We start from the raw sequence: 25,285 nt of genomic DNA on the forward strand, positions 1-25,285 counted from the left end.
CCACAGCCCACTCAGGAACACCACCTTCAAGCTCCAGGGCTCCCTCCCTTTAGCGTCCCAGCTCCATGCCTCAGCATGCCCTCCCACTGGGGGCTGCCCTCCCCCATGCCCACTTCCTCCCTAACCCCTTTCCCACACCCCACCCTCGCCTGTCCTGGAGAAATTCAGCCCCCTCCCCCAACTGGGAAACGCACCACTGCAGCTGGCTGCTTACTTTGGGGACACCAGTTTCTAGGGAAGCCTAGTCCTCCTGAAAACCCTCCGCCTGCTGCACCTCCGGGTCTGTGCAGGTTCCACCATCCTGGAAGATGATATCATGCCTCCTCCCCTCTGCTAACTCTGTGTCCAACTTTACAGAGAACATAGAGATGGGAGAGGACTCCTCCCTGCCCCCACTGCTAAACATCCCATCCTAAACATCTGCCCTGCCTGCTGCCATGAACACGTGGCTCGCCCTTAGTCCTGCCCCCCACGGCTTACTGGGCTGCCCCATCAGGGTAGGAGCCGTGCTCTCAGCTCCACGTACCCTCTTTGGCTATGCCCACCTGCTCTGCAACTCTTCAGGGCAAGATGACACAGAAGGGCCTGGCCTGGGCGCCTCCCATGCCCACCTCCCATTCTCAGGGTTCCATCCCAACCGCTCCAACATCATGTCGCAAAACATCATGTCGTCACATCTGGGCTCAGCCTATACCTTACTGGATGGTCCTACTAGCATTTCCTACAGTGGGGCGCTTTTTAAAAACACTTTCTTCACTTAGATTCTGGGGCTCCACTCTCTTCCTCACCAGCCTCCATTTCCCCACCTGCCCTCACCCTCCTGATGTTGGAGGCCCCAAAAGTTCAGCCCTTAGGTCTCCTCCCTTCCCTCCACTGGCCTGACAGGTGATCTCCACCAAGCTCATTGGCAGTGGAAGACCACATGGAGCCTGCTACTGATCAAGTGTGTTCCTCACCAACCACAGTGGCTCATGCCTATAATGGCAGTACTTTCGGAGGCTGAGGCAGGTGGATCCCTTGAGCCCAGGAGCCCAAGACCAGACTGGGCAACATGGTAAAACCTCCTCTCTCTCTCTGTGTGTGTGTGTGTGTGTGTGTGTGTGTGTGTTTAGCCAAGTGTGGTGGCCACACGCCTGTAGTCCCAGGTACTTGGGGGGCTCAGGAGGGAGGATCGCTTAAACCTGGGAAGTTGAGGCTGCAGTGAGCACTCCAGCCTGGGCAACAGAACAAGGCTCTGTCTCAAAAAAAAAAAAGTGTGTTCCTCAGCACAAACCCTCCTCTGACCCCCGAGCTCTCACCTACAGCTGCCCACTCGCAGTCTCACTTGGAGGTCTACACTTTAAACTCAACACATACCAAACCAAGCCTCTGTCTCCACCAGCTCAATTAAGGGCATTGCCATTTTTCAGGCACAGGCCAAATCCTCAGAGTCCTCCTTGACCCCTCTCTTTCCCTCACATCCCAGGTCCAATCCCTCAGCAAGTTCCCAGGCTTCCACTGCTGTCACCAGCACCCAGGGCCTGAGCCACTCTCATCTCTTGTCTAGATTATTGTTATTGCTCAAGTCGCCTCCAAATTACAAACTTTGCCTCCTTAACTTTATTCTTCACTGACTGATTCTTTGAGAACAAAAGCCAGATGTATACCTCCTCGAAAGCCCCAGGTAAAAGCTAGAGTTCATTAATGGGCTGAAGCGATTTGGCTCCTTCCTCTCTCTCCTCCTCCATTTCCTATTACTGCCCCTGCAAGAGTTTAGCCAACTACAAAGCACAAAGTTTTTGTTTGTTTGTTTGTTTGTTTGTTTTTTGAGACGGAGTTGCTCTGTTGCCTAGGCTAGAATGCAATGGTGTGCTCTCGGCTTACTTCAACCTCCACCTCCTGGGTTCAAACAATTCTCCTGCCTTGGCCTCCCAAGTAGCTGGGGTTACAGGCGCCCACCACCACGCCCCCTTAATTTTTTTTATTTTTATTTTTTTTAGTAGAAACGGGGGTTTCACCATGTCGCCGAGGCTGGTCTCAAACTCCTGACCTCAAGTGATCCTCCCACCTCGACCTCCCAAAGTGCTGGGATTACAGGTGTGAGCCACTGCGCTGGGCCCAGAGTTTGTACTGGGTCTCCACATAGGCGTGGGTGATGGCCCAGGAGGAGGAGCTCAGACTCCAGTCTCTCGGTGTGACCCGAAGCGCCACTTCCCTCTGGCAAGACACCTCCAGGACTTGGTGATCAGCTCCCAGAAGCAGGTGCGCAGGCCAGCCCTCTCCCTGGGCAAGGAGAAACCCTTTGCTCTGTCGTCCCCCCATGGACTGCTCTCAGGACGCTCCCACGCCCTTGCTGTTCCCTTCCCTGCAAGGCTCCTCTTCTGTCAGCATCCTGGTCCCAGGGGCCCTCTCTCTGCACACTCAGGACTGCACCCTCCATGCTCTCTTCTCCTTGCATTGGTCTGTATATTTCCCCTTCGCTTGGTTATTGTCGTCTCTCCTCCCCTCCCCAGGATGCGAGCAGGGGTTGGGGAGAGGCCTTGGTGTGTTCTCGGCCGATCGCTGGTGCTGAGAGTGTCACTGACAGCCACTGGGCAGGATGGCTGAGGATTAACTAAGACCCAAGATGCCAGGCACGGTCCATGCTTAGGAAATGCCAGCCTTCCTCCAGGTGCCCAGCTCCTTCCAGGGCAGCATTTCTTGGGAAGAGGCAGGACTGAGGGATAGCAGCAGTGGCTCAGTGAAAGTCCAGAGCTGAGAAAATAGATTTGTACCAGGGAGTTGCCCCACAGTGTTCCCCGGTATCGAAAAACAGCCGCCAGCCAGCAGGCTGTGTGGTTATCCACTCGAAGCCCAACATGGGTGAACAGACCAGGCTACCTATTCCAGGCATGGATAGGAATATGGAGCCCATGAAATTGCTGCAGGGTCGGTGCCCATCACAGGCTCTGCAGCCCTGCACAGAATGACAGCATGTGTTGACTGATGAGGTGGAACCAGACCCGCCTGAGGGCTGAGACACAGTGGAGGCTGAAGACTCCTTAGGGGATCCTGTCTGACTGGGTGTTACAGGCTGACTGTGTCCCTCACATGTGACTGCATTTGGAGAGAAAGTATTTAAAGAAAACATTAAGGTCATGAGGTTGGACCTTAACCAATATGACTAGTGTCCTTATAAAAAGAGATTAGGTGGCTGGGCATGGTGGCTCATGCCTGTAATCCCAGCACTTTGAGAGGCCAAGGCCGGCAGATCACCTGAGGTCAGGAGTTCGAGACCAGCCTGACTAACATGGTGAAACCCTGTCTCTACTAAAAATACAAAAATTAGCCGGGTGTAGTGGTGGGCGCCTATAATCCCAGCTACTTGGGAGGCTGAGGCAGGAGAATCGCTTGAACCCAGGAGGCGGAGGTTGCAGTGAGCCGAGATTGTGCCATTGCACTCCAGCCTGGGCAACAGAGCGAGACTCCAGATAAAAAAAAAAAAGAGAGAGATTAGGCAAGACATGGTGGTTTATACCTCTAATCCCAGCTCTTTGAGAGGGCCAGTCGGGAGACCCCCATCTCTAAAACAAATTATTTTTTTTGGACACAGGGTCTTGCTCTGTTGCTCAGGCTGGTGTGCAGTGGCACGATCATGGCTCACTGCAGCTTCAGCCTCCTGGGCTCAAGCGATCCTCCCACCTCACCCTACCAAGTAGCTGGGACTATAGGCAGGCACCACCATGCTCCACACCTGTAATCCCAGCACTTTGGGAGGCCAAGGTGGGCAGATCACCTGAGGTAGAGAGTTTGAGACCAACCTGGCCAACGTGGTGAAACCCTCTCTCTATTAAAAATACAAAAATTAGCCGGGCGTGGTGGTGCACATCTGTAATCCCAGCTACCTAGGAGGCTGAGGCACGAGAATTGCTTGAACCTGGGAGGCAGAGGTAGCAATGAGCCCAGATAGTGCCATTGCACTCCAGCCTGGGCGACAGAGGGAAGCTCTGTCTCAAAAAAAAAAAAAAAAAAAAAAAGTTTCTATGTTGCCCAAGCTGGTCTTGAACTCCTGGGCTCAAGTGATCCTCCCACTTCAGCCTCCCAAAGCACTAGGATTACAGGTGTGAGCCACTATACCTGGCTTTTTTTTTTTTTTTAATTAGCTGGGTGTGTAGCACATGCCTGTAGTCCCAGCTACTTGGAAGGCTAAGTTGGAAAGATGGCTTCAGCCCAGGAGTTCAAGGCTGTAGTGAGCTATGATTGTGCCACTGCATTCCAGCCTGGGCAACAGAGCAAGACCTGTCTCTTAAAAAGAAAAAGAGAGATTGGCCGGATGCGGTGGCTCACGCCTGTAATCCCAGCACTTTGGGAGGCCAAGGCGGGTGGATCACAAGGTCAGGAGATTGAGACCATTCTGGCCAACATGGTGAAACCCTGTCTCTACTAAAAATACAAAAATTAGCTGGGCGTGGTGGCTCGCATCTGTAGTTTCAGCTACTCAGGAGGCTGAGGCAGGAGAATTGCTTGAACCCAGGAGGCAGAGGCTGCAGTGAGCCGAGAGCGCACCACTGCACTCCAGCCTGAATGACAGAGTGAGACTCCATCTTAAAAAAAAAAAAAAAGAGAGAGAGAGACAGATTAGGACACAGACACGCACAGAGGTATGACCATGTGAGCACACAGGGAGAAGACGCCATCAACAAGCCAGGGAGAGAGGCTGCAGAAGAAACAAACCCTTCTGATGCCTTGACCTTGGACTTCCAGCCTCCAGGACTATGACAAAATAAATTCCTGCTGTTCAAGCCGCCCAGTCTGTGGTACTTTGTTACAGCAGCCCAAGCTGACTAATATACTGGATTTTGGGGGTAGAAAGATACTTACAGCAACTCTCCTCAAGGGTCGCCCAGCCTGCCTTCCACCCAAATCCTGCCTAAATCCTTCGGGTTGGCCAAAATTAAGCTGCTTGCCTTGGTGTAACTTCAGCGCGGGCTAGTAGAATTGCTGTGGACAGACAGGGAACTTAACCTCCTGGGTGCCAGTGGTCTCCTCGGCCAAGTGAGAGGCCGTGCTGTGCGGAGTGCCCTCCAGAGCCCCTGGAGTCTAAAGTTCTGTGACTTGCTAAGACTTTCCTTTATGATTGGAAAGCCCATTAGGAAGCAGGCAGGTGCTGTTGGCATAGCAACCACAAGCCGTCTTATGTTCTTTCCAAATTAAAAATTTTCCAGCTTTAGAACTGAGGAGAGAAAGATGTAAGAGCAGAGATGAAATTAAGTTATTGATGGAAGCGGTTGCCATGGCATTGTGCTGTCCTTGGAGTCTGCCAGCTGCCACTTGATTTCTCCATTTTTCGTGCAAACGAAGGAGTCCAAGAGAAGATAAGGACCAGCCTCCCACAGTGAGGGAGAAAAACAAAACATATGTGTTCATTAGAAAGAGTTGACTCATGATGGGAACCTAAACAATATTTTAAGAGTAGCAGCTGGGCGCAGTGGCTCACACTTGTAATCCCAGCACTTTGGAAGGCTGAGGTGAGCAGATCACGAGGTCAGGAGTTCAAGACCAGCCTGGCCAACATGGTGAAACCCCATCTCTACTAAAAATACAAAAATTAGCCGGGCTTGGTGGTGCATGCCTGTAATCCCAGCTACTCAGGAGGCTGAGGCAGGTGAGTCCCTTGAACCTAGGAGGCAGAGGTTGCAGTGAGCTGAGATTGTGCCATTGCACTCCAGCCTGGGCAACAAAGCCAGACTCCATCTCAAAAAGCAAGCAAACAAACAAACAAAAACAGAGTAGCTATACACCCAATGTGCAGGCCTTCTCAAAACTTACGTGAATCACCTGGGGATTTTGTTAAAATGTGGTTGCTAAAATGGTAAGTCTGGGGTGTGGCCTGAGATTCTGCATTTTAGGCCGGGCACGGTAATCCCGCCTGTAATCCCAGCACTTTGGGAGGCCAAGGTGGGCAGATCACTTGAGGTCAGTAGTTCGAGACCAGCCTGGCCAATATGACAAAGCCCCGCCTGTACTAAAGTACAAAAAAATTAGCCAGGCATGGTGCCACATACCTGTGGTCTCCTCAGCTACTCGGGAGGCTGAGACATGAGGATTGCTTGAACCTGGGAGGCAAAGGTTGCAGTAAGTGGAGATTGCGCCACTGCATGCCAGCCTGGGTGGTGCAATCTTGGCTCTGTCTTAAAAAAAAAAAAAGATTCTGCATTGTATTGTATTGTATTATTTATTTATTTTTGAGACAGGGTTTCACTCTGTTGCCCAGGCTGGAGTGCAGTGGCACAATCACCGCTCACTGCAACCTTCGCCTCCCAGGCTCAAGTGATCCTCCTGCCTCAGCCTCCTGAGTAGCTGGGACCACAGGTGTGCACCACCACACCTGGCTATTTTTTTTTGCATTTTTTGTAGAGATGGGGTTTTGCCATGTTGGCCAGGCTTTTCTCAAATTCCTGGACTCAAGTGATCCACCCGCCCAAAGTGCTGGGACTACAGATGTGAGCCACTGTATCCAGCCCATTATTTTAAATTGTGGTAAAATACACATAGCATAAAATTTACCATCTTAGACTTTTTTTTTTTTTTTTTTAAGGGATGAAGTTTCATTCTGTGGCCAGAGTGCAGAGGTGCAATCACTGCTCACTGCAGCCTTGACCTCCCGGGCTCAAGCAATCCTCCCATCTCAGCCGCCCGGGTAGCTGGGACTACAGGTCCGTGCCACTATGCCCAGCTAATTTTTTATTTTTATTTTTGTAGAGATGGGGTCTCCCTATGTTGCCCAGGCTGGTCTCAAACTCCTGGGCTCAAGCAATCGTCCTGCCTTGGCCTCCCAAAATGCTGGGATTATAGGCATGAGCCACTGCACCTGGCCCACGTTAAGCCTTTTTTAAGTGTACAGTTCAGCAGCGTTAAATGTGTTCACACTGTGCACATCCAATCTCCAAAACACTTTCCATATGGCAAAATGGAAACTGTAACTATTAAATAACAACTCCTCATGTCCCCCTCCCCACAGAGAGTCTGCATTTACGACCACGTGATGACAATGGTGCTGGTCTGTGGCTCACATTTTAAGTGTCAGCTGTCCTTCGGAGCCTTTCTTGGTACCAGGGGCTGAGGTAGGTGCCAGGCAGGCCAGAGTGAACAGGCCATACACTGTGCTTCCCAGGAACTTCCTGGCAAGTGGGGCAAGACACGGGGTGATGAAACTTCAGAGGAGTGGACAGGCTACCTCATTCACACGTGTGACTAGCGTTTGCATGGCGCAGGGAGGATGGAAGCATGGATGGTAATGTGGAGACACTCAGTGACTGCCGCATTTACTTGCTAAGTTTGCTGGACCATTCCCTCATGCTGGCATGTGGGCATTGAAGGCTACTCACCTTATTTTTGCTATTATAAATAATGCTGGTATAAACATCTTTGTATATGTGGCTGTTTCCTCTTGAATTTTTGTCAAGAGAAAAAAAATCTCAGGAATGGAATGACGGAGCCAAACTCATCTTCTTGTTAGCTCCGGTTCCATCTTCCAGATCCCACTGTATTCCTCTACGGTGCTGTTAACAACGCTAAAGGGGATGGATTTCTTTATACCTTTATGGCATTTGGCGGTTATTTTTATTTTATTATTATTTTTTATTTTTAGAGATGGGGTGTCACTCTGTCACCCAGTCTGAAATGCAGTGGCTTGATCCTGGCTCACTGCAGCATTGACATCCTGGGTCAAGTGATCCTCCTGCCTCAGCTTCCCAAGTAGCTAGGACTATAGGTGTGTGCCACCATGCCTGGCTAATTTAAAACAAAATTTTTTTTTTCTTTTTTTTTGTAGAACGGGGCTTGCCATGTTGCCCAGGCTGGTTTTGAACTCCTGGTCTCAAGTGATCCTCCTGCCTTGGCCTCCCAAAGTGCTGGACATTTGGCTTTTATAAGTTCTCTTTTGCTGAAAACCAAAGTAAGGTATATACAAAATGGCACTTCATCTTTAATTTGCGTTTCCCTGTTTACCAACAGTGGATGCTTTCCTCATGTAAGCAGACAGTTTTCTTTCACTGACCATCAGTTGGGGAGGAGGCAAGGTGTCTGTAGTTTCATGATTCTTTACATGTTTTGGAATGGACTTTTCTTATTGGCCACTCACAACAGATATGTCCCCAGGCCCCCGGCCCTCTGTACTGTGGTCATTGTTGGCATATGTGAAATCAGATACAAGATATTCCTCTAGTCCTCTGGTTTGTCCAAGACACTGGATTAATGGTTTCTCCAAGCACACCTAGTGAGCGAATACCCTGACCTTCTGGATTCATCTGTTAGGAAACGCATTGGGTAACAGGTATGGGAATGGGGGTGACTTCCAGTTTCAGTTCCAACATGTGAAGTCATCGCTCCTGCCCTTACATCAAGAACATAACTGAATAAAGTGAAAAGTCAATGGTTTTCTTAGATCCATCAGAGAACTGAGGCCATAGGACAAGCCACCACCCCAAAAGCCAGAGAGACAGGCAAAGGCCAGAAATCACAGTTTGCTGGAAGCAGACACCACCAGGGCCAGGAGCTGGGGGGAAGATTTAAAGGACCCCTTAAATGGCAACTTAGATGAATGGCCGGATTTTGTATGAGTTTGAGAGTTAAAAACTCATTGGGGCTGGGCGCGGTGGCTCATGCCTGTAATGCCAGCACTTTGGGAGGCCAAGGCAGGTGGATCACGAGGTCAGGAGATCCAGACCATCCTGGTTAACATGGTGAAACCCCGTCTCTACTAAAAATACAAAAAAATTAGTTGGGCATGGTGGCGGGAGCCTGTAGTCCCAGCCACTCCGGAGGCTGAGAGAGGAGAATGGCGTGAACCCGGGAGGTGCAGCTTGCAGTGAGCCGAGATAGCACCACTGCACTCCAGCCTGAGCGACAGAGCAAGATTCTGTCTCAAAACAAAAACAAAAACAAAACTCATTGCGGGGGCCAGGCGCCATGGCTCACGCCAGTAATCCCAGCATTTTGGGAAGCTGAGGTGGGTGGATCACTTGAGGTCAGGAGTTTGAGACCAGCCAGGCCAACATGGTGAAACCCCGTTTCTACTGAAAATACAAAAATTAGCCGGGTGTGGTGGCAGGTGCCTGTAATCCTAGTTACTTGGGAGGCTGAGGCAGGAGAACTGCTTGAACCCGGGAGGCGGAGGTTGCAGTGAGCCGAGATTGTGCCACTGCACTGTGATGGAGAGAGACTCCGTCTCAAAACAAAAACAAAAACACCCAACAACCTCATGGGGATCCAGTCTAAGGGGGACTCTCACACTTTTGTTGGTTTTACCTCCAAGGGGCCCCACCAGGTTCTCATAGTGAAGAATGGAGGGAAATCCCTGGTGTTTGACCAGGGAGAAGGGAAAAGCAACCATTTTGAATTGTTCCTAGAGTGTTCTCAACAACAAAGACCAGCCAGCAGGAGAGAAGACCTCCCAGAGCCTTACCCAACACGGGGGAAGGGATACACCCTCTGGTTCTTGCTGGCCCTTGTGACTTACCCAAGAGGGCAAAAAAAGCTGAGATGCACCTGTGAAGGTCACAGCCCAGGGACACAGGCTTACTAAAAGACTGACAGCTAATCATGGGATTCCAGAGCGCTTCCCCTCTGTCCACACCTTGGCACCCCAACTGCAAGGCTCCCGCAAAATACAGAGGGTCACTGCTGAAAGAACCCAAGGCTCAGGCTCCACTTAAGAAAAAGTCTCCAGGGAAAAAACAAAGACAATAGGGGAAAGAGAAACAAAGACACTGAAGAACATTTTAGTCTCTGACATCTACAGCAAAACACAGCCTGTTAGCCAGAAAAACAGAAAAACTTCACACTAAAGGCCTATCCACCTCAGTGTTATTACCCAAAAGATCACATCTTTCAACAAAAAATTGTAAGGCATGCTAAAAGATAAGAAAAAAACACAGTTTGAAGAGACAAAGCAACTGACAGAGCCAGACTCAGATGTCAGAGACTTCGGAATGATCAGACTGAGAATTTAAAATACCTAGGATTAGTATGCTAAGGGCGCTAATGGAAAAAGTGGGACAGGCAAGAACAGATGGGTGATGTAAGCAGAAAAATGGAAGCCTTAAGAGAGGAGCAGGGATTTAAAATGTTTATGTAGATCTGAGCTTCTATCTTATACCATTCTCCTTCCCTCTCAAGAAGTTTTTTTTTTTTTTTTTTTTGAAACAGGGCCTCACTCTATTACCCAGGCTGGAGTGCAGTGGTGCAATCACGGCTCACTACAACCTCTGCCTCCAGGGCTCAAGTGATCCTCCCGCCTCAGCCCCGAAGTAGCTAGGACTACAGGTGTGAGCCACCATGCCCAATTTTTGTATTTTTTGTAGAGATGGGGTTTCACAATGTTGCCCAGGCTGGTAAAGATCTTATTTTAACATTTCTTATAAAGCAGTGCTACTGGCAACAATTTCCCTCTGTTTTTGCTTGTCTAATAAAGTATTTATATTTTAGAGGCAGGGGCTTGCTCTGTGGCTTAGGGTGGAGTGCAGTGGTACGATCCTAGCTCACTGCAACTTTGAACTCCTAGACTCAAGCAATCCTCCCACCTTGGCCTCCCAAAGTGCTGGGATTATAGGAGTGAGCCACTGTGCCTGGCATTTTGTTTTGTTTTGTTTCTGAGACAGAATCTCACTTTGTCTCCCAGGCTAGAGTGCAATGGCATGATCTTGGCTGACTGCAACCTCCGCCTCTGGGTTCTAGCGATTCTCCTGCCTCAGCCTCTCAAGAAGCTGGGATTACAGGTGTCCACCACCACACCTAGCTAATTTTTGTATTTTTAGTAGAGACGGGGTCTCACCATGTTGGCCAGGATGGTCTTGAACTCCTGACCTCAGGTGATCCATCCGCCTCGGCCTCCCAAAGTGCTGGGATTACAAGTGTGAGGCACCGCACCTGGCCTTGTTTTGTTTTTGAGACAGGCTCTTCCTCTGTCACTCAAATTGGAGTACAGTGGTGCCATCATAGCTCACTGCAGTCTTGAACTTCTAGACTCAAGTGATCCTCCTGCCTCAGCCTCCTAAGTAGATGGGACTACAGGGCTTGTGGAACCAAGCTGAGATTTTTTTTTCCTTTTTCTTTTTTTTTTTGGTAGAGGCAGGTCTCACTTTGTTGCCCAGGCTGGTCTCAAACTGCTGGCCTCAAGAAATCCTCCTGCCTTGGCCTCCCAAAGTGCTGGGATTACAGGCGTGAACCACTATGCCCAGCTATTTTATCTCCATTATGAAAAACAGTTTCATTGGACACAATATACTAGGATGGTGGTTTTTCTCTTTCAATACTATGTATAATCAGAGTGGTGGGAGGGGACACCCAATTGTAGAGGGTGAACTTCTTGTTTTTCACCATTAAGTATGTTAGCTGTGGGTGTTTTGTAGATGTTCTTTATCAAGCTAAGAAAGTTCCTCTCTATTCTAATTTGCTGGGAGTTTTTACCATGAATGGATGTCAGATTTTGTTGCTGAGTCTGGTCTGAAGTTCCTGGGCTTAGGTGATCCTCCTGTCTCAGCCTTCTGAGTAGCAGGGAGTACAGTTGCAAGCCACCATGCCTGGCTTCTTTCTGAATCTATCTGATCATATATGATTTTTCTTTTTTAGCCTGTTGATGTGATGATCATAGTTTATTTATTTATTTATTTTTTTGAGGCAGAGTCTCGCTTTGTCGCCTAGACTGGAGTGCAATGGTGCCATCTCGGCTCACTGCAACCTCCACCTCCTGGGTTCAAGTGATTCTCTTGCCTCAGCCTCCCGAGTAGCTGGGATTACAGGCGCGTGCCACCACGCCCAGCTAATTTTTGTATTTTTAGTAGAGACGAGGTTTTGCCATGTTGGCCAGGCTGGTCTCGAACTCCTGACCTCAGGTGATCCACCTGCCTTGGCTTCCCAAAGTGCTGGGATTACAGGCATAAGCCACTGTGCCCGGCCCTGATTTTTTTTTTTAGGCAGGATTTCACTCTGTCTCCCAGGCAGAAGTGGAGTTTTGCCGTCACCACTCACTGCAGCTTTGACTTCCTGGGCCTAGGTGTTGCTCCCACCTCAGCCTCCCGAGGAGCTGGGACCACAGGCACTGGCCACCATGCCTGGCTGTTTGTATATTTTTTGTAGAGATGGGGTTTTGCCACATTGACCAGACTGGTCTTAAACTCCTGGGCTCAAGTGATCTGACTGCCTCAGCCCTAACATGCTGGGATTACAAGTGTGAGCCTGTAAAACTGGCCTGATTTTTGAATGTTGAGCCAGATTTGCATACCAGGAATCAATCCCACCTGATCAAGACCTATACTTCTTTTTATACATTGTTGGTTTCTATTTGCTCGTATTTTACTGAGCATTTTTGCATCTATGATCATGAAAAGATATTGCTCCATAGTTTTCCTATTTATTTATTTTTTGAGACAGAGTCTCGCTCTGTCACCCAGGCTGGAGTGCAATGGCGTGATCTTGGCTCACTGCAACCTCCACCTCCTGGGTGCAATAGATTGTCCTGCCTCAGCCTCCCAAGTAGCTGGGATTACAGGCATGTGCCACCATGCACAGCTAATTTTTTGGTACTTTTTAGTAGAAACGGGGTTTCACCATGTTGGCCAGGCTGGTCTTGAACTCCTGACCTCAAGTGATCCACCTGCCCCGGCCTCCCAAAGTGCTGGGATTACAGGCGTGGTCACTGCGCCCAGCCTATATAACATCTTTATCTGGTTTTGGGATTAAGGTAATGCTGGCAATCATAGAATGAGTTATGAGTGATTCCTCTGTTTCTATTTTCTGGAAGAGATTGTAGAGAATTGATTTTTTTTTTTTTTTTTTTTGAGACAGAGTCTCACTCTGTCACCCAGGCTGGAGTGCAGTGGTGCCATCTCAGTTCACTTCAACCTCTGCCTCCTGGGTTCAAGTGATTCTACTGCCTCAGCCTCCTGAGTAGCTGGGATGACAGGCACCTGCCACCACGCCCGGCTAATTTTTGTATTTTTAGTAGAGACAGGCTTTCACCATCTTGGCCAGGCTGGTCTCGAACTCCTGACCTTGTGATCCGCCCCCGCCGGGCCTCCCAAAGTGCTGGGATTACAGGCGTGAGCCCCCGCGCCCGGCTGATATTTCCTCTTTAAAACATCTGGGCCTGGTAGAGTCATGTCAAATGAGTTGAAAACTTAAGTCCACACAAAAACCTGCACATGGATGTTTACAGCAGCTTTATCTATAATTGCCAAAACTGGGAAGCAAGTGAGACGTTGATAGCTGAATGGAGACACAATCAGTGGTATATCCATACAATGGAATATTATTCAGTGATAAGAAGAAATGAGCTATGTAGCCACCAACAGACATGGTGGAATATTGACTGCATATGGCTGAAAGATGTCTGAAAATGACACATTCTGTTCTAACTACATGACATTTTAGAAAGGCAAAACCACAGCAACAGTAAAAAGCCGCATGGCTGTCAAGGGTTGGCGGGGGATAGGTGTGCTGATGGTGCAGGGGTGGGTGTGTGGGACTCCATGTACTATCTGCTTAATTACTCTGTAAAAAGCGGTACTAAAAGAGTAAAATCTACTTTAAAAATAGAGAGATGAGCAAGAGGGGAGGAATGACCAGGTTTGCTGAAGAGAGAGGCTTCGGGGGCCTCACAGGGGTCAGGACTTGTCTAAGAGGAGTTTGATAACCATGGCCAAGGAGAGACATGGGCTTCCAGTGATCTGAGACGATCCTGACAATGGAATGTTAATTACAACCTTCAAGATTTAACATTACAGTCCTGGAGAGCCAAACATTCGTAAATGCAGTGCAAGGTCTACTTGTGCAGAGTGAACAGATGAAAGCATCAATGGCAGGAGGTAAAATGAAAGATTTCTGTGGACAGAAACGTCCTGGAGTTCTCGGCACCTGCATGTAGCCTCCCCACTGCTGGCTGACATGGCATTTTTTCTTTTAAAGAGAGTGGGTCTTGCTCTGTTGCCCAGGAGGAGTGCAGTGGTGCGATCATAGCTCACTGCAGCCTTGAACCACTGGGTTCAAGTGATCCTCCTGCCTCAGCCTCTCCAGTAGCTGGGACCACGGGCATGCGCCACTATACCTGGCTAATTTTTTTTTTCATTATTTTTTGTAGAGGTAAATACAACCTGTGTTGTCCAGGCTGGCTCTGAACACCTAGTTTCAAGAGATCCTCTTACCTTGGCCTGTCAAAGCACAGGGATTACAGGTGTGAGCCACTGCACAGCACACAGCACTATTTTCGAGTTTTAATGATTCCTCTTCTCTGGTTACCAAGGTAATACAAAGTATTAAACCTCCTGGTGTATCTGTCAAGAGGTGCTGCACCTTGGAAATTCTCCTGCACACCAGGAGTGTCCTGCTCTCTGCTGTGGCCCAGGGCTGTGTGGTCTTGGGCCTTTCCTCCATCCTCTGGAGTCAGATCTGGCAGGCACATGCTGTGCATTAAGCCTTGGGGCCGGCAGTGGAGGCCTGGCCAGGGCCCTTGGCTGGGGTCGAAGGGCTGATCCTGAAAGGGCACAGGACCAGCAGGCTGCAGCAGCAGGAGTGGTCTTCCATGGAAGGGGCTTCCCGGGGGAACTGCGTTACCTGATTCCCACCACGTGTGCCTGCTGCTTGTGGTGGGGTGCCGTGCAGGGGATCAGGACAGTGGGGGCTCCTTTGGGGGTCTGACATGGGCTCAGAGCCAGAAATGTACACCTGCCACCTCCTAGGAAAAGAAAGCACAAAGCAAAGACAAAGAGGGGAGGGGCGTGGCATGCAGCAGACCATGCTGTCACCCAGGTGGCCTTGCTATCTCTGACCTCAACCTTGGGCTGCACAGCTCATGGGAGCATCTAGTGGATGCTCCAACTAGATTGTGCCAAGGTGGGGCCGGGCCAACGTCTCAGCCACGAGGAATCCTCACAGAGCAGTCACCAGAGCCCTTGCTGCCGGGACACTTCCTCCAGTGCCCAGATATGGCCAGCCTGGGTGGCTGGGTGTGTCTGTCTTCCCTTTGGAGCTCCTTTTGCCAGGGGAAACTCTGTGTTCTCTGATCTCAGGTGGTGCCTATTTTGATGACAGCACGTTCTTTTTTTTTTTGAGACGGAGTCTCGCTCTGTCACCCAGGCTGGAGTGCAGTGGCGCAACCTCGGCTCACTGCAACCTCCACCTCCTGGGTTCAAGCAATTCTCCTGCCTCAGCCTCCCGAGCAGCTGGGACCACAGGCACAAGCCACCATGCCTGGCTAATTTTTGTATTTTTAGTAGAAGTGGGGTTTCACCATATTGGCCAGGCTGGTCTCAAACTCCTGACCTTGTGATCCGCCTGCCTCGGCCTCCCAAAGTGATGGGATTACAGGTGTGAGCCACCGCGCCCTGCCAATGATAGCACCTTCTTAAAACAGGGGAGCTTGTGTATACACTTAACCCTGAGTCGGTTTCGTGTCAACGTCGGATATGTGAGTGTTAGGCTGTTCTTGTGTTGGTATAAAAGAATACCTGAGACTGCATAATTTATAGAGAAAAGAGGTTTAATTGGCTCACAGTTCTGCAGGCTGCAGAGGAAGCATGGCACTAGCATCTGCTTGGCTTCTGGGAGGTCTCGGGGGCTTTTACTCCTGGCAGAAGGGGAAGTGGGAGCAGGCGCGGCACATGGCCAGAGCAGGGGTGAGAGCGTCAGTGTGGGGAGGTGCCACAGGCTTTTACACAACCTTATCTCACAAGGGTAGCACCTCCCATCAGGCCCCACCTCCAACACTGGGGACTACATCTTAGCAAGCTGTTTGGCGGGATCATCCAAACTTGTCATCAGCGAGCAACAAAGGGCTGCCAGAGGGGTGTGCATGCTGCCCCACCCAGGTTAGCACAGTCACGCTCACCCTGGGGGAGCACAGGCAGCCACTGTGACCCCACTATCACCCACCAACCAAACAGTGACTCTGGTGTCTACTTGGGAGTCTAATTCTCCTTATCTGAAAAAAAAAACCAATGCCTTCGGTCTGCCTTGTCCTTGCAGAACCGTCTTCGCTTCAGTCTATTCAAGGCTCTCTTCCCTTCAGAGAAGAGCCGGACACACTGTGGCTGGCTCCCTCCCCGGGGCCTGGCTGATGGTCCCCGGAGGGGCCGCAGCACTGGAGGCACATGTGTGGGCCACCTGCTCACCCTCTTTTCCACTTTCATCGCTTGTGAGAAAACAGAAATAAGAAACGGGCTGCGTCGTTAGCTGCCTCTCCTGCCTGCTGATTCCACTTGTGTTCTGTGCAGCCTGCATATCGTAGGCAGCAATAGCTCTCTCCTCAGAATTCACTTTGGCAGCCAAGCCCCCCTGCAGCTCCTCCTTGCCCTGTGCTCCCTTCTTGGGTAGATGCCCTTTAAACACTGTGCTCCCAGCCTTGGGGCCCTGTTTCCCAGCAACACTGAGTCCAGGGTGCTAATCCCCTGGCGCCTTCCGGCCACAGGCGGCCTTCACTGACAGTATGACTTTCTCCGGTTTGAAATCTGCATTGGCCCAGTCTTTCTTTCTTAACTGAGACATTGCAGATTTATGGACTTTTTTTTATTTTTATTTTTTGATACAGAGTTCTCACTCTGACGCCCAGGCTGGAGTGCAGTGGCGCCATCTCGGCTCACTGCAACCTCCGCCTCCCGGGTTCAAGCGATTCTCACGCCTCAGCCTCCAAGTAGCTGGGACTACAGGCGTCCGCCACCACACCGGGCCAAATTTATGGATTTTTGTTTCCAATCTAGCAGTGACAGTGCTTATTCTAAAACTGTGGCAGTCCATGCTGCTCTCATTCCTGCACTTATTCTTCTTTAGGCACTTAGCGCATTTGTAATTTTAACTTCTTTATATTAAATGGTTAAACCAATGCCTGGCCTCCCTGCTGAGTTATGTGTTGGGAGAGCAGTCTCGTTTGTTTTGCTGACTGCAATACTCATCGCCTTACAAATTCATGTCTTATCAGCCATTGCCTGCCCCTCCCCTATTTGTATGACCTCTCCAATAGCCTTAATCATCCTTCCTGTACTTTTAAACTAGTTAGATGACTGTACTCAATTCCCTAGCGAGGCCTTCCTGCTGCCGACCAGACAGTGATGCCCATGCTGCCAGCTCTCTGTCCTTTCTTGGTCCACTGTGGAGGCGTTAACAGTCATCTGTGGTCTTGTTTTGTTTTCTCAATTGCTCAGTCTTTTGTGACATTTGCTCTCCTCTCAGTTCCCATCACCATTTTTTGGCTCCTCTATGGCAGGCACATTATGCTATCTGTGGGAGGTAGACAGGTTCCCACCCTTGCTTATTCAGAGCAGAGAAAGTTCTACTGATTTCATTTCATAAAAGGATATCGGTGATAAAAGTATTTGAAAACCACTGCTTTTTGGAATATGTAATGCAGTAGACTTTCAAAAGCAATTTAGAAAACAAATTGTCGCCCAGGCTGCAGTGCAGTGGCACAATTATGGTTCACTGGAGCCTTGACCTCCCAGGTTCAAGCGATCCTCCAGCCTCAGCCTCCTGAGTAGTTGAGACCACAGGCTCATGACACCACGCCTGGCTAATTTTTAATTTTTTTGCAGAGCCGGGGGCGGTGGGGTGTCCCATATGTTGCCCAGGCTGGTCTCGAACTCCTGGGTTCAAGCAATCCACCTGCCTCAGCCTCCCAAAGTGCTGCAATTACAGGTGTGAACCACTGCACCCAGCCACAAAGCAATTCTTGAAAAGCAACCAGGGTTGGCTTCCAAATGCTCAGCCCTGTCATGGGTCTCATCTGTAGTCTTAGTGCCTTCCTCCTCCTTGTGTAGATGGTTCCATCTCAGAAAACCTACATTTCCTAGCCTGTAAAGCCTAGCCAGCTCCCCATGGAATGGGAACAATTTAGTATTTTAAAGGAAGTATGAAGAAAGAGCACTCTCTGGGATTAAAGAGGAGGCAGGCTGAAGGAATTATGACATGGCCAATGGGTCACTGCCTGACTCTCCAAACTGGTCTCAGAACTGGCCCCTCTGCGCACGGACTGCTAACTCGAGGGCCCGCACTGCTGACTGGCAGCAGATCTTCCTCCAGTGCCTTGTTCCAGGTTTGAAACCTTTGCCCTAGTGTCCTAGGGCACCGCACACCCCCGCACCCCTTCTTCACACATTCGGCTTCCCTTGTCCAGGGTCCCACCATAGAGGAGCCTCCCCTGCTTCACCCACCACTTTCATAGCTGACAACTGGCTTCTGTTACTGTCTAGTCTTACTAAACAAAAGGGGCAGTGGCTCCTTCTGGCCACAAAATTCCAGGATTCCTCTCCAACTTCTACCCAATCAGGTGCTTCTCTTACCTAGTATTTTAATTTTGACGTGTCTTTCCCAAGCCTGTGTCTGGAGCATGGTGGTTCTGCATCGAGCTGAAACTGCTGGGATTCCTGTGCTTGGGACACAGCCCAGCACATCACAGGTGACAGTTCCAGAGCATGGAACCGGTGTCATGTTTCCAGTCGATTCAAGGGAGAGCATCTGTAGGCCCGATGTGTGGATGTGGGACATTATTATACGAAAAACTCAGACTCTAAACTTTGGTAAGAAGTTAGGAAACAAGACGGAAGGAAGAGGGAAACAAAATAATTTTTCCAGGCATTGGTGATTAAAGATGCCTTTCCTTTGAAAGTACGCAGGCTGCTGTTTTCTGTGTGTGCCCGTAGTACTAGGGTGGCTCTGAGTACAGGAAGCGACAATGGCCCAGAGGGTCCTTCTGATACCCAGATAAAGACAAAACTTGCCTTCAAATGGAAAACTGCTACTGTTCACATTCTTGCTGTAATCATCAGCTTTTACACACACACACATTTGTGGAACCCCACAGAAACATCACAGGCTGGGTGCAGTGGCTCACACCTGTAATCCCAGCACTTTGGGAGGCTGAATCATCTGAGGTCAGGAGTTTGAGACCAGCCTGGCCGACATGGTGAAACCGTCTCTACTAAAAACACAAAAATTAGCTGGGTGTGGTGGCGTGTGCCTGTAATCCCAGCTACTCGGGAGGCTGAGGCAGAACTGCTTGACCCCAGGAGGCGGAAGTTGCAGTGAGTGGAGATCACGCCACTGCACTCCAGCCTGAGCGACAGAGCAAGACTCTATCTCAAAAATAAATAAATAAAAAAATATAAAAAAAATCACAAAGCTACTGGACATTGGCCTTCTTGGCCTGCGTACGGCTGAAAGATGTTTTCCTTTCTCTCAGGGACCAGCAGCTCCAGGCATTTCCTGAAAATGGGGACTGCCCTGCTGCAGACCCCGCTCCTGGCTTCTGGCGCTACAAAGTATTTGGCAGGAACTCAGTGACTACTGAATGGATCTGGAGCAGATAAGAAAGCCAGTGTGAAGTCCCAAGGAAACCCACAGGATTGGCACTGGCATCTTCCATTGGGTATTTTGTGACTAAAGCTGGACGGGGTCCTTCTTCCCTCTCTCCTTGCTCCTGCCACCACCGTAATGTCACCATCAGCGACGGTGATATAGCTGGCCTCACAGTTCCCCAGGCAGCCCCAGACAACTTTCTGCTCTCCATAGACAGTCTAGACTGGCGATGCTGAGACGCTCTATATCATTGTCCGGACATGGCGGGGTCTAGGACCACTGCCCACACCACATGCTCAGCCACAACACATGCCCAGCCACTCAGTCTCCGCCCACGTGCCACAGCCCCTCCACTGGTCCTGTGGTTGCATCCCACCTGGTCTCCCCACTGCACCTCTTCCCCTTGGTCTTCTACTTCGCCCAGCCCAGCTAACGTGACATGCAGGCAGAGGGTGTCCTAGCGTCACTGCAGGCCCTTCCAGCGGCGGGCAGTCCTCCTATTACAACTTTCACGGTGGCTCTGCCTCATCGTCAGCAGAGACCTTGTCTCCCACCTTCACCTGCAAAAGACACATCACAGGGCATGATCTCCCTCCACTCTCTCCTCTCCACCTGAAAATGATGTCGTCTTCAGCTGTCCTTGGCACCAGACTCAAGAGAACGAGCCCTGTGTCCATCTCGGCCCCATGGGGCCCAATGCCACCATCCCCTCCACTGTTTCTCCGCCTCACTGCTCCTTCTTCCTAGAGTCAGGAATGCTAAGCCTGTCCCTAGGAAAACCCATCCCTGCACTGCTTCTCTTTGGCCACTCCCAAACCCTGCCCCCTTGGCTTCAGGGCCGGGGGTGGGGGTCTGCACTTGCTTCCACAGCCTAGGGGTGTTTCCTGTTCCCCTCAGATGGTCCAGGCCAGCTCTGAACGTGTTGGTTCTAAGTAAACACAGCGAACTGGCCAGCCTAGATGCTGGTCCAAACTGCCATCTGGAACTGCTGAGCTACCGCTGAGAGAAGCCCATCACAAAGTGGGGAAAATGGGACCAGGCTCCTCTGCTGAACAAGGAAGATGATTATTCTGATTGCCTTATACAGAATCTGGACAACAGGGAAGACTGTTAAGTCTCTCAGGGAGAGGGCCAGTGGAATACTCCCACAGTGCTTCAAATACCCCATTGCAAACTCCCAGTTTAGGTGTGATCAGCTCACTTCCCTGAAGGTTTCTGACAGGAGGGTTTCTTCTCTGATTAGTAAGAGGGTTTCCTCTCAGATTAGCAGTTACGTTTGTTTGCAGGCATTTTAGTGACACCTCACAACAAAATTTAGTGAAATAAAGCAGCATTTAAAAAGACTTGCTATTTACTGAGTACTTGCTTTGAAGTACTATGCTGAACAGTTGAAATGTATTTTTATAATCTTTACCATATACAAGGCAAGTAATATTGCTTCCACTTTACAGCTGACAGTCTGAAGCAGAGGAAGAAAGCAGAGACGCAGAATGACTGGCCCACAGCCAGCCGCAGTTATAAGCAGGGGGTAGTTCTGAACCCAGCTGGATGGGTCCAAGGCCTGTGCTCTTTCCATAACACCACATCCAAAACATTTTCCAGTATCTTTGTTTTGTAAATAAGTCATTACATAATGCCCAATATTGATAAGAACCAAATGTCCAAGAAATCCTATCTTTATGACTTCTTGCTCTGAAAAAAGGGGTTGCCCAGGATGTCTGCCCAGCAGTGGGGTTGCAGAAGTTCAGGAGGATGAGGAGATGGGCGTGGGCACCGCCTACCCCCCCCCCCACAGGTGAAGGTCTGAAGAACCACCTGGAGAACCCTAGGAGCACTGACATCCCCATTCAACTCGAGGAACAGCTCACAGCCCTAACACAAGTTACCACATGCAGAGCAAATCTGGAAGACATCTGGGGAACATAACGAAGGACTAGACAATTTCACGTTTTCACAGATGAAACTGCAATTAAACTATACATGCACGGTGCTGTGTTATTTTGGTAATACAGGGACACAATTTAATGATTCTAAGGATTTTTTTGTAGTTTTTTTTTTTTACAAGTCAGGTGCCATAAACATTCAAATAATCCATCTTTTAAAAAGTACGTTTACAACATCAAAAGAATTAAGATGAAATATAAACCTTTCTACTTACAATTTTTATACAGATTAACCAAATCACAAATACCACAAATAAATGTTAATGTTAAATTGTAACAATATAATGAATAAACATTCAGATTCTTAATAAAATCTTCCTTTAACATTTTTTAACTTACCATTATACTAAATAATCTATGCAGAATTTTGGGGTACAATACCAAGAAGGCACCAACAGTACAAAGCAGATACAAAGCAGTTTCAGAACTTTCTTGAGTGCTCTACACGCATAAACAGCACAAGAAAAGGCAACAAGCTTTAGGTAAACCTGGTGCAACCCTGGAGGACTTGCTCTGGATTTCCATTTGTTTCTGACCCATCATGTCAAGGTGGATGACGTAAGAGAAACCACATATTCACTGTTATAGCTTCTCATCTGCACCACAGGAGTATCATGTTTCAAACACCAGCATAACAATTTTAAAGCACAAATGCTTTAAAAATGTATAAGCAAAAGGATTGCTCAGATTTTCAAAACCATTACATTTACAAAAATATTTCCCTTAAACTTGGGATTGCTCCAAAACATTGATTTACAAATATAAAAGTATTATGGAAGGACCCAAAGCATGTGTGCGTATGTATGTGTGTATTAACATACTGTTACCATACTATATAAAAGTTACCAATTTAAAAACCATATTAACATATAAGCAAATAAAGAGAAAACAGTTTCCTCTGAATGGCTGAAATATTACGTGGCATGTGGTTGGGTAGTTTACTTTTGTGATTCCTTAGAGAAAACCACTGGTGAGCTACATGTAGCTTCTCAAAGCTACTGGTTACCTCTACACCCACTGCCTGTGCCCAAGAGCAGAAGGAATGAGTGTGCACACACCACACACTGTGCACTGCACACACAATACAGTATTCTTCTACCCAGATGCCACAATGTCTGCGTATCTCTGCTAGCTTTGAGGACCTGTGTCAGGACAGAGTCCTCATGATTAGTTCTTTCAATTCCATCCCACTGGCTTGTTCAGTATTTCTTTTATACTAAATGAAAGGACTGGAATGTTTCAGCAGGAATTTTTTGCTTACATTTTAGACACCAAAAAAGCTATTAGTCTGAAAGCTTATTTGAACATACAAATAGTGGAGGTGCTGTTCCGTGTCACTAATATGAATTAAGATGACCTAATCTGTACATTTTTACAAATGTAAGAAGAGCCAAAATGATGCATCTACTACACATGATAGCTAGCGCTTTTCATAGGTACCTTGGTTAGGACCATTCTCTGCCCAGTTACATTATGTTTGGCATGATTAATAAAAAGCACACAACTTATGGCTACAATGATTCTAGAATGAAGTTAGTGGTTTCATGCCAATCTGACTCCACAGTACCAGGAAGGGGAATGGGAAGGAGCTCACAGTCTCCAGATGTTAGTAGCCAAGGATATGGTTTTCTATTTAGAAGAGGACTCCAAATTAACCTTATAATAGTAACTTTCCATTTAAAAAGAAACAAGAGTAATAAAACTGTCAATGCTTTTTTATAAATGAAAACTGACTAATCAGTGTTATCCGGTAACAGTCACATTTCTGTGTCCCGTCAATGCTGTGTGGACCTTCAGACGGCAGCTCTGAGCACGCAAGTGAAAAGCGCGTATTTCAGGGCAAGAATAGAGATGTGGGTCTGTTTTCCGAGGATGAGCCAGCTATCCTTCCTCAGCCACAGGAGTGGTGAGCGTGAGCACCCTGGGCTGGGTGGTGAGGACTGCGTACTGTGGGGCGGCCCTTCCCAACTCTTGGCTGTGCCCAGCAGCACCTCTGGGGCACAAGGGCAGGCCCTCTTTAGAGAGAACCAGGGAATCCAACCTGAGATGTCGGGGCTTCTTTGTTAGGGTTTGACAGAATATTTGAGACCTAAGATTGTGAATAAAGGAACATGACAGCATCGATTCTCTGCCGAGCAGAGGTAAAAAGGACCCTACAGAAGTACCTTTCTAACTCATCTTATGTAAATCCAAGTGCTGGGCCAGTGCCTGGGCGGCAAAGTGAGGCCTGTGAGCATTTCTGTGTTCAGCACAACCTGAACCTGACTGTCCATTCAGACACGCTGATCCAGAGGAAAGCAACACTGAATCTTAACATGAATGTGAAGATAGAAGATGTACATTTATTTTCATGAATTACAAATGCATTTCTGTTCATATTAGCAGGCAGTCTTTATATAACCCATTCTCCATTGCTGTCAAAAATCAAACAAGAAAAAAGGACAGCTGAGAAATGAAAAGCTAAAAATAGAATTATTTTTCCTAAATGATCTGCTGGATAGCATTTTCCGTGGAACACAACTCAGAGGTAACAATAGAGTTTTCATTTCAATCGTAGGCATGTGGCACTTGGACAGTCATCTCTGCACAGAAAGCTGTAACAGTCATGCGAGGGTACAGTAATTATTGAACAAGGCAAATTTCTCACCACAGAGAGCAGTGGGGAAGTCAAGAGGAGGCACCGCACTGGGACAGAACACCGAGTCAACTCCACAGTACACAGTGGCAGGAACAAATACTTAAAGAGATCAGTAAAATATGGATAGAGCTCCAAACACGAGTTAGTGCTAGCTTTTTCTGACAGTCTGACTCAGCAGTATCAGAAATATTTGAGTACTTGAGGACAGAACAGTGCTTCACGTCATGAGCTCCTGGAGGCTTTATTACAAATTGTTATACTGTAGGTTGAAAAATGAACTTGAGATGCTGACATGCTGTAGAAGGAAAAAGAATTGTATACTTTCTCATTTAAAGACGCAGTGTTCCTCTCTGCTAAATCCTCAGGCATGGAACGTGGTTACTGAAACACCCACATTTGAAGTAGCTCAAGGGCGTATATGCACCAGCATGTGGAGTTCCACCCTGGGACATCCCCAGAAACCGCCCACAGCTCAGCACTGCAACCTTTGTACTTCTCTCACCAAATGTCGAGTGAAGCTGCCACTTTAAATCTTTTTTTGTAAGTCTTACAAACATTAAGTACTGCACATAACGCTTCTTGACAAGTGTTACACCTCTATATGGTACAAGTGACCACAGTAACTACAGAGTGACACTGCTGGGTGCAGTACTTCCTTTTTATTTAGAAAAATGACTGCATTTTCTAAAAGCTGGGCCAATAGCACATACCTTATATATGTTAGTGACTACCATGATATGAGAAAAGACGTGGACAAGTGCTCCCCAAGGATTCCGGAGACGGAAGCACTTGCTGCAGGCTGCAACATCAGCCAAGGTATTTCCACAAGCTCCTGCTCTGGGGAAACAGTTATGGTCAAAAGGTGAAGTGCAAATAAGGGGCTGTCACTGACTTAAAGTGCCCTAGGTAGTAGCCTTCCCTATCATAAAGTGAGATGCCAGTGACTAGAGCCAATTGGGGAAGAATCTCTCTCTGGTGCGGCTGCATGGTCAGCAGGGCATCATGTAGAAAAGGATTCAGGAGAGGGAGGAACCACTGCATCTTTCAAACCAGAAAGCAATTAGTGACTAAAGCAACAGTAAGCAGTAGGTGCACTGAAGTACATACTGCCGCAGGTCACCAATGGGTGACACACACAGGGCTGCCAGGAGGAATTCTCTGGACTGAAGAAATTCTTTGAAAGCATAAAAGCCACAACTACCAGAAACCGCCCCTCCAAACGGCTCAAAGGAGTCAAAGTGGATAAGCCAAGACGGGCTGGAGACAGGACCAGGGGTCAAGAACTGGGAAGAAGAACACCGATGTCTGAGCACGTCCAGTCCTCTGAGCCCTTGTCCTATAGAAACACAAACAGACCACTGAGTTAAGAGTGAGCCATGTGAAAACAGCATCATCATCAGCATCA

At 48.5% G+C, this 25,285-nt stretch overlaps 1 protein-coding gene across 1 annotated transcript in view, besides 5 other annotated features; it reads right to left on the minus strand.

The window, feature by feature from the left end:
* Positions 7,977–8,146: an enhancer, noted in NCBI's record as "experimental_63007 CRE fragment used in MPRA reporter constructs". NCBI's record gives its function as "activates a minimal promoter by MPRAs in K562 erythroleukemia cells, with activity observed for both the introgressed and non-introgressed 22:22101375 variant alleles {active_cell/tissue: K562}" and the evidence as "EXISTENCE:reporter gene assay evidence [ECO:0000049][PMID:34662402]".
* Positions 15,477–15,606: an enhancer, noted in NCBI's record as "active region_18705". NCBI's record gives its function as "activates an Ori minimal core promoter by ATAC-STARR-seq in GM12878 lymphoblastoid cells {active_cell/tissue: GM12878}" and the evidence as "EXISTENCE:reporter gene assay evidence [ECO:0000049][PMID:35858748]".
* Positions 15,987–16,056: an enhancer, noted in NCBI's record as "active region_18706". NCBI's record gives its function as "activates an Ori minimal core promoter by ATAC-STARR-seq in GM12878 lymphoblastoid cells {active_cell/tissue: GM12878}" and the evidence as "EXISTENCE:reporter gene assay evidence [ECO:0000049][PMID:35858748]".
* Positions 17,491–17,590: an enhancer, noted in NCBI's record as "active region_18707". NCBI's record gives its function as "activates an Ori minimal core promoter by ATAC-STARR-seq in GM12878 lymphoblastoid cells {active_cell/tissue: GM12878}" and the evidence as "EXISTENCE:reporter gene assay evidence [ECO:0000049][PMID:35858748]".
* Positions 19,475–19,921: a silencer, noted in NCBI's record as "fragment chr22:22112788-22113234 (GRCh37/hg19 assembly coordinates)". NCBI's record gives its function as "represses an EF-1alpha promoter that drives an FKBP-Casp9 reporter gene in an ReSE screen in HepG2 liver carcinoma cells {active_cell/tissue: HepG2}" and the evidence as "EXISTENCE:reporter gene assay evidence [ECO:0000049][PMID:32094911]".
* Positions 20,633–25,285, minus strand: part of MAPK1 (mitogen-activated protein kinase 1) — a 108,024-nt gene continuing 103,371 nt past the window's right edge. The window contains exon 9 of the mRNA NM_002745.5: positions 20,633–25,216. The gene's annotated coding sequence lies outside the window, so the exon portion shown is untranslated. The remainder of the gene's footprint in view (positions 25,217–25,285) is intronic.

Source organism: Homo sapiens, chromosome 22 (assembly GCF_000001405.40).
Source record: "Homo sapiens chromosome 22, GRCh38.p14 Primary Assembly".
Lineage (NCBI taxonomy): Eukaryota > Metazoa > Chordata > Mammalia > Primates > Hominidae > Homo > Homo sapiens.